At 45.5% G+C, this 7797-nt stretch overlaps 1 protein-coding gene across 5 annotated transcripts in view, besides 2 other annotated features; it reads left to right on the top strand.

The window, feature by feature from the left end:
- Positions 378-437: a silencer, noted in NCBI's record as "silent region_4900". NCBI's record gives its function as "represses an Ori minimal core promoter by ATAC-STARR-seq in GM12878 lymphoblastoid cells {active_cell/tissue: GM12878}" and the evidence as "EXISTENCE:reporter gene assay evidence [ECO:0000049][PMID:35858748]".
- Positions 488-957: a silencer, noted in NCBI's record as "silent region_4899". NCBI's record gives its function as "represses an Ori minimal core promoter by ATAC-STARR-seq in GM12878 lymphoblastoid cells {active_cell/tissue: GM12878}" and the evidence as "EXISTENCE:reporter gene assay evidence [ECO:0000049][PMID:35858748]".
- MED13L (mediator complex subunit 13L) overlaps positions 786-7797 on the top strand; it is a 319118-nt gene continuing 312106 nt past the window's right edge. For 3 of the 5 annotated variants that reach the window (XM_047428608.1, XM_017019090.2, NM_015335.5), the window contains exon 1: positions 786-1419. Coding sequence is in view for 4 of the 5 variants with exons in the window: in XM_017019090.2 (XP_016874579.1) it covers positions 1348-1419 (72 nt within the window). In the remaining variant the exon portion in view is untranslated. Of the gene's footprint in view, positions 1420-1786; positions 2050-7797 lie in introns of those variants that run through there. The other 2 variants (XM_047428607.1, XM_047428605.1) reach the window with 1 other exon arrangement.

Here is a 7797-nt window from a genome sequence, read left to right as displayed (position 1 = left end):
AGGAGCTCAGGAAACATTTATGTAATGAATGAATGAATGAATGAATGAGTGCACACAGTAACTAGGAGTAAGGGCTCAATAAACATTTCTGTATTAAACGCACAGTGTCTGGAACACAGTAAGCGCTCCGTCTATGGCAGCCGTGAATATCCCTGGGCGAAGCCTGTGAAACCTTGTCCAAGAGCTTGGCTTCACTGTGCGCGGGTTCGAATCTGGACTCCTCTTCCCAAGTGTGCGACCTCGGGCAAGTGATTTAATCCCTTTGTGCTTTAGTTTTCTCCTCTGCAAAAGGCGGACGGCGGCGCGAGCCTCTGAGGACACATTCCCCAGGGCACTCGGACCCGCTGCCTGGCCCACATCGCGGCCGCCGCGCCACGCCAGCCGGCCTGGGCTGCGAGGGCACAGGCCGGGGGTCCCGCGCCCTCCTCCGCGGCCACCACGGGCGCGCCCGGGACCCACGGTCCCGCCCCGCCACGATCAGTGCACCGCGAGGGGGCGGGGCGGCCACGAGGGGCAGCCCACGGCAGCCACGGGCCGGCAGTCCGCCGCCCGCCGGGGAGCCCGGCCGCCCGCACTTCTTTCTCTCCCTCTCTGCCTCCCTCCCTCCCTCTTCCCGGCCGGAGGACCCGGCCGCGCTCAGCTCAGCAGCGCCTCCCGCGAGCCGCCGCCGCCGCCGCCACTCCGGACCCCTCCCCCGCCCGCCCCTCGCTCCCCCCGCGCGGCCGGCGCCCGTCACGTGACCAAGCGCCAGCCAATGGCGGGCCGAGCCGCGGTCGGCGGCCGCCATTGCTGTCAGAGCAAGCGAGCCCGGGGAGGGAGGAGAAGCGAGGCTGACTGGGGAGGAGGGGGGGGTGGGGGAGGAAGAGGAAGGAGGGGACGTCGCTCGGCTGCCGGGGTCGCCCGCTGGCTTCGTCCGCACCCCCCCCTTCGCGAGTTCGCGCTCCGCGGCGGCGGCGGCTCCGAGGCGGCGGCGGCGGCTCCGGGGCTCGCCTCCCCTCGCGCGCCGGCGGGGGCCGAGGGGGAGTCGGTGGCTGGAGATAAACAAGGCGGCGGCAGCGGCAGCAGCGGCGGCGGCGGCGGCTGAGGAGCAGGGAAGGCGGAGGCGGTGGCCGGCCCGCAGCGCCGGCCCGGGGCGCGCGCCCCCCCCGCCAGCCCGGGCCCGCTGCCCCCGGCGCGGCGTCGCCGCGGCGCCTCCCGCCTGCCCGCCGGCCCTCGCGCCCTCCCCCGGCGGCGGCGGCGGCCCGGCCGCCCCGCGCTCCCCGGCGAGGCGCCGCCGCCCGGCCCGGCCTCGCCTCGGACGCCTCGCTCCGACATGCCCCGCTCTGGCGGCCGGGCTCGCGGAGGATCATGACTGCGGCAGCGAACTGGGTGGCGAACGGGGCGAGCCTGGAGGATTGTCACTCCAACCTCTTTTCGCTGGTGAGTAGCCGGGCTGCGGGGAGGGGGCTGTGCCGGGGAAGGGGGGGGGTCCCCGACCTCCGCCGCCGACCAACTTTCTCCTCCCGCCGCCGGGACTTCGCCCCTCCCTCGCGTCTCCCCGCCGTTCGCCTCTCGCCGATTCTCCCCCTTTTGGATCGTCTCTCTCTCGCCTTGGATCCCATCCAGTGTTTATTTGGCTCTTTAAAAATCATTTGTGAGCGCGGCGCTCGGCGTGGAATTTGCATGTGGAAGTCTCGGAGCTGCGGATTCTGGGTCGCACTTCGAACGCCCACCCTCTGTTGCAATCGCACTCCCCTTCTCCTCCCCTTTCCCCCCTTTTTTTCCCCCCGTAAATGTGGAAGGCTTTGCCTTGTGCTGCCGCGCCTCCGATCGGCAACCTCTTCCCCCGTTGTTGGATCAGCTGCCTGCCCGCCCGCCTGCCTTTTGAATTTTTTTAAATTCCATAATGACACCTGCAATTTCGCCCTAAAATAGTTGATTGAATGCGATTGTGTCAGGAAAGGACTCTTGCACCCGAAGCTCCCGCGATTGTAAACATCGACAGCCGCCTGCCTCTCGGGGCTTACTATGCTGGAGAGCCGTAAAGCCATTGCACCGAGCCGACGGAAGGTGGAGAAAGCTTTTTCTTCTTTCTCTCCTCCTGTGTCTTTTAAAAACTGTTTTTCTCTATCCTAACAACGAATCCGCACACACACACACACACACACACACACACACACACACACACACAAAAGCAACAAGCTGGTCGGTTTGATAACATCGCTTTTATCTGCCTTCGCCTCTCTCGCGCTCTCTCTTTCTGATAATTGACAACTTTTCCTTCGGATTTGAATCGCCTGCCTTAATCTTGAAGCAGTTAGGGTGTCAATTGTTCTCGTGGAAGCCTGGCACCCGCCGACGGTGTCTAGATTCATCGAAATTAAAAATGTATAGGGCTCCAGCAACTCTTTTCCTGGCGGTGTCAGTGACATTTGGTGGTAAATGCCATCTTTGCTTTTTATTGGGTCGTATTACCTACCTCTGAAAACATTCACGTTGTTAAACCTGGCGTTTAGGCTAATAATTGCAGTGCGTGGTCTTTAAATATGTGCTTTGTGCATGAGTTACTGTATGTATAGCTATGTGCCCAGGAGAGTACGAATTTGTTTAAATATTGAGCAAAGATTTGTAAACAGATGTAAGGCAATTACGTTTCAAGCGTAGAATATAATTGGAAAATTGGCTGAACGGTTTATTTAATTTAGCCTTAAAAACACCCAACTTGTTTTAAGTTGTGTACCCTGTTTTTTTTGGGGGGGAGGTGAGTCCCTTTTGGAGAGCATGCATTTTGGAAATTATTTTCTGTAACCCCCGCTGTAGATAGAAGCATTATTTCCCTCTTAATCCTTGTTTACACTGGATAAATAATTTAGTGTTCAAATTGTAATTAGTTACATTTAATTATGGGTGGCATAGATGCCTTTTTGCTATGAGACTAATGGAGAAATGCAAATTCTCGCCAACTTTTCAAATGAAAGTGTTACTTTATTAAATGTGTTACAATGCAGACCAAAAAATCAACACGTGATTTTTACCTACAAAGACATAGTATCATTGCTCCCACTCTAGTAAAATCAGGTAAATTTTTTTAAATGAAATATTTTAATCCAGATATTTAATCTTAAAATTCATTTATAAGTTGGAATTCTTTCTCTTAGTATTGTGATAATTTTCCCTTGATTTTTTGGTATGTGGGAGTAAAACCCCCTTTTGCCTCAACTTTTTCCCTCCTCAGTCTTATCATTTAGTATCAGTCAGGTTCAGGGACTTCCATAGATTAGCAAACATATTGATCAAGGGGTATTTAAAATGGTTTTTGTGTGGTTACTGGTGACCACATTGACACTTACAGGTAATTAAAATAACCAAGTAGAGCGATCTCCCAAATTATCATATATTATGCTGACTGGTAATGGCTGTGTATATACGGATTCTGTAGACAAATGAAAGTATATGTATAGCCAGTCTTTAGGGTATATCATTTCTTTTATCTTTTTTTTTTTTTTTTAAAGCTTAAGTAAGGATGATAACGTTACAGAGATAAAATGCTTGAGATTCTTTTGGAGAAGCAATTTTGTAGGAGAGGATTCTGTACTTTGATTTTGAATGACTAAAGGTTTGTGTTTGAGATATTTCTCCCCTAAACCTCTTTAAACCAAGGGATTGATTTTTGAATATGCTTTTTTAAAAAGAATTATTTTTTAAGTAGCAACTTTGAACTAGAGAACCATAGAAATGCTTAGTTGATTTTTTTTTTTAAAGGAACGTAGAATGTCTTCATTCTCTTGTACGTGGAGTGTGGATAAGGTGCTATTGAAGAAATGTAAATTAATTAAACTGCTGACTTGTACATTTTTCTGATTCCAAATTGAGATTTTTTTTTTTTGAAAATGCTATACAGCAGTAGCAACCTGGAATATTAAAAATATGTTGCCCAAAGTACATTGTATATCATAGTTATTTCTGAAGGAGATGTAATCACTTGTTCAAAATCATGTTTTTTTATAAGAACGCTTTATGGTTTAATAATAGCATGCATTTTTTTCTTTTGGCCTGCAGGGTTTTTTTTTTTTTTGTTTTGTTTTTTTTTGCAGAGAAAAGTATTTATAAAGAATTTACCTAGATACTCTCATTAGTTAGATTGAAATAAGAGATTAAGTTCTGTACCGTGGTAATACCCACCCAGTTTCCATTACCTTGAGGTGTTCATTATGGCTTACCAAAAGTTGATTGTGCAATCAATCAGACACTTTAAGATTTCTGCTAGTCTTTTACTTATTTTCTGATTTTTTACTGCACGGAATCAAATTTCTTAAATTAATTTTTCAGCATCCATTCCCTTTTCCTAACGTGTGAAAAATGCCATTGTGTATATATGATATGGGTCATTGTATAAGTTTCTTATTCTAACTGCTGTGAGATTTGTAGCTGCTGCATTAAGTGCATGCCTGCCTGTGCCTTTCTGACTCAAAACTATTTTCTTATGCTGTCCATCACATTTCTGGGTGACTTTTTATATATTCACTCAGTTAATCATTCAGTTAAAAGTGTGTTAAATCTGCCTTTTTGAAAAGTGTAACAGTGCACCCTATGGTATGTGAACTCATTCTTGTGAGAAGACATAATTTCTGGATGTTAAGTAGACATTTATTTTTCTCTATTGAGTTAATATGGAGAAAGTGATTTTGTGCCCTTTAACTAGATTTAAATATGTGCTCTTTGATATGAGGGAGTGATCTCTAGTTCTTAGATATGTATGCTCCACTTTCATGTTTTATTTGCTTAGAATCTTCCTGACTATGGATAATTGGGTGATAATCTCAAATTCTTGCTGAATTGAGACACTAGTACACCCATTAGTACATAATTCCTATTGAAGACCATTAGTTCTATATTTGAAGCTTTTAAGGTAATCTATTGTTGACCTACTTTCTTTTTGTCTTAAGGGATTTTTTTGCAGAATGGGAAGGTAGTTGTAAATGTAGAAAGTCTGAATTTTTTTTTTTTTTGCGCTAGAACAAAATAGGGTGGACTATAAAATGGAAATTAGGAAAAGGGAATGATTTCTCTAATTTTCAAAGTGCCAAAATACACAAGGTATTTTTTTGTACCAGTTCATTGTGATTTTATAATTTATGTTTAAAGCATTTTTTTCCATGATGGTTCATTTTCTTTCTTTTTATTTTTTATTTTTTTGAGACGGAGTTTCGCCTTGTTGCTCAGGCTGGAGTGCAAAGGTGCCATCTCAGTTCACTGCAACCTCTGCCTCCCAGGTTCTAGCGATTCTCCTCCCTCAGCCTCCGGAATACCTGGGATTACAGGCATGTGCCACCACGCCCGGCTAATTTTGTATTTTTAGTAGAGACGGGGTTTCTCCATATTGGTCAGGCTGGTCTCAAACTCCCGACCTCAGGTGATCCACCTGCCTCAGCCTCCCAAAGTGCTGGGATTACAGGCATGAGCCACTACGCCTGGCTATCATTTTCTGTAATGAAAATATTTACAATTTGTTAATGTATGTTTTCGGTTTAGCATTTTGTTGTTAGTAGCACATGGTGTTACAGTATTTATATATTTTTAATAGCAATAATTGCCACCCGGTAATAGTTGCCATATTAACCTCCAATTGCTAGTAAATATTTTTAAGTACATAATAGACAGCAATTTAAGGCATAGTGTAGCAGTTTACTGGACTGTTTTAAAGAGCCATTTGTATGTGTGATGAGTTCATAATTTTAAAGAGACAATAATGTACCTTAGGCCTGTATGCTACAAATATTTTGCTGTGGATGTTGCTTGAAGTACTCACTGGGAAGAAGTTAGGTAGGGCCTATTCTTTGTGAGAAGAATGGGCAAGGGGGTGTGTTTAGGATAGTATGTATTTATTGAATTTATGCCAGGTGCTTATATAGCTTATCATTTTTTTTTTTTGTTTTGGTTTTTTTTTGAGACCAGAGTCCCACTGTGTCACCCAGGCTGGTGAAGTCTTGGCTCACTGCAACATTCAGCTCCCGGGTTCAAGGGATTCTCTTGCCTCAGCCTCCCAGGAGCTGGGATTACAGGCGCCTGCCACCATGCCTGTCTAATTTATTTGTGTTTTTAATAGAAATGGGGTTTCGCCATGTTGGTCAGGCTGCTCTGGAACTCCTGACCTTGTGATCCGCCTGCCTCGGCCTCCCAAAGTGCTGGGATTACAGGCATGAGCCACTGCGCCCGGCCAGCCTGGTTTTTAATTGTATTCCTTACCACTTTCAGAGATCTCTCTCACCAGTTTGTACTAGTGCTATAAATTGTGATAACTAAGTTAATTTTGTTCTATAATTATTTTTGCCTAATAATTTAAAATTGAGATGAAACTCATCTCAATGAAAATATGTAAATATTACTATTTACATATTTATAGAGAAACAGACAACAGAAAAATTGTTTATTTTTTATGAACAGTTAATTCAGCTGTCTCTCAACTTTGAATCAAAGATAGAGTAGATTTTTTTTGAAACATTCGACTTATTTTTGATTGAAGAAAATAACAATAATAACAATGTTCCCCTTCTTTAAGCTAGTAGTAGGAGTACTGATTTGTGTGTGTGTGTGTTTTTTTTGAAAGTGAATGATACATTTATTTCACAGGAGCTAACCAGTTAGCCAGATTAGACAGATTTTATGAGAATTAGTAGTATGGTTGACTATTAGGTATTACTGTTATTGAACTGTGCATTGCAACCGTAGAAATGAAGAAAAAAATACATGCAACATTGTTATTAGTGTCATTTATTTCAGATGTATTTTGTGCAGATCTGATTTACAAACTGTTGTGTGATGTTGGCCACCAGAATTTCTGTTTTGTCATAACGTTTCTTTTTTTTTTTTTTTTGAGACGGAGTCTGGCTCTGTGGCCCAGGCTGGAGTGCAGTGGCGCGATCGCGGCTCACTGCAAGCTCCGCCTCCCGGGTTCGTGCCATTCTCCTGCCTCAGCCTCCCGGGTTCACGCCATTCTCCTGCCTCAGCCTCCCGAGTAGCTGGGACTACAGGCGCCTGCCACCATGTCTGGCTAATTTTTTTTTTGTATGTTTAGTACAGATGGGGTTTCACCATGTTAGCCAGGATGGTCTCGATCTCCTGACCTCGTGATCCTCCCGCCTCGGCCTCCCAAAGTGCTGGGATTACAGGCGTGCCTGTCATAATAACATTTCTATTTTAAGAAATTATATTTAATGTATTTCAAAGTGAGGTAGTTGGGTAGCCTAAAAGTCTGTATAGTATTCTAGCGCACACACTCACACACACACACACACGTATTTGTTTCATAAGACTTGCTTAGAGTTTCAGAATTAGCGAATCAGTATTTGTATGTGTTCTTGGAATTTAGGACATTTTCCCCCCTCTTGAGTCATTTAACTTCTTTCTGAGCTTGTTCAGATAATTTTCTTTCTTTTTTTTTTTTTTTTTTTTTTTTTTTGAGACGGAGTCTCGCTCTGTCACCAGGCTGGAGTGCAGTGGTGCGAAGTCGCCTCGCTGCAACCTCCGCCTCCTGGGTTCAAGCGATTTTCCTGCCTCAGCCTCCCGAGTAGCTGGGACTACAGGCGCGCGCCACTATGCCCAGCTAATTTTTGTATTTTTTAGTAGAGATGGGGTTTCACCATGTTGGCCAGGATGGTCTCTATCTCTTGACCTTGTGATCCGCCCGCCTCGGCCTCCCAAAGTGCTGGGATTACAGGCTCGAGCCACCGCGCCCGGCTGATAATTTTCTTTTATAGTATATATACTTTCATTGTTTATTTGAAAGATTTAAAGGTGTTAGCTTTGTTCTGTTGGGGG

This window comes from Homo sapiens, chromosome 12 (assembly GCF_000001405.40).
Source record: "Homo sapiens chromosome 12, GRCh38.p14 Primary Assembly".
Taxonomy (NCBI): Eukaryota; Metazoa; Chordata; class Mammalia; order Primates; family Hominidae; genus Homo; species Homo sapiens.
This window is presented reverse-complemented; position numbering and strand designations above follow the sequence as displayed.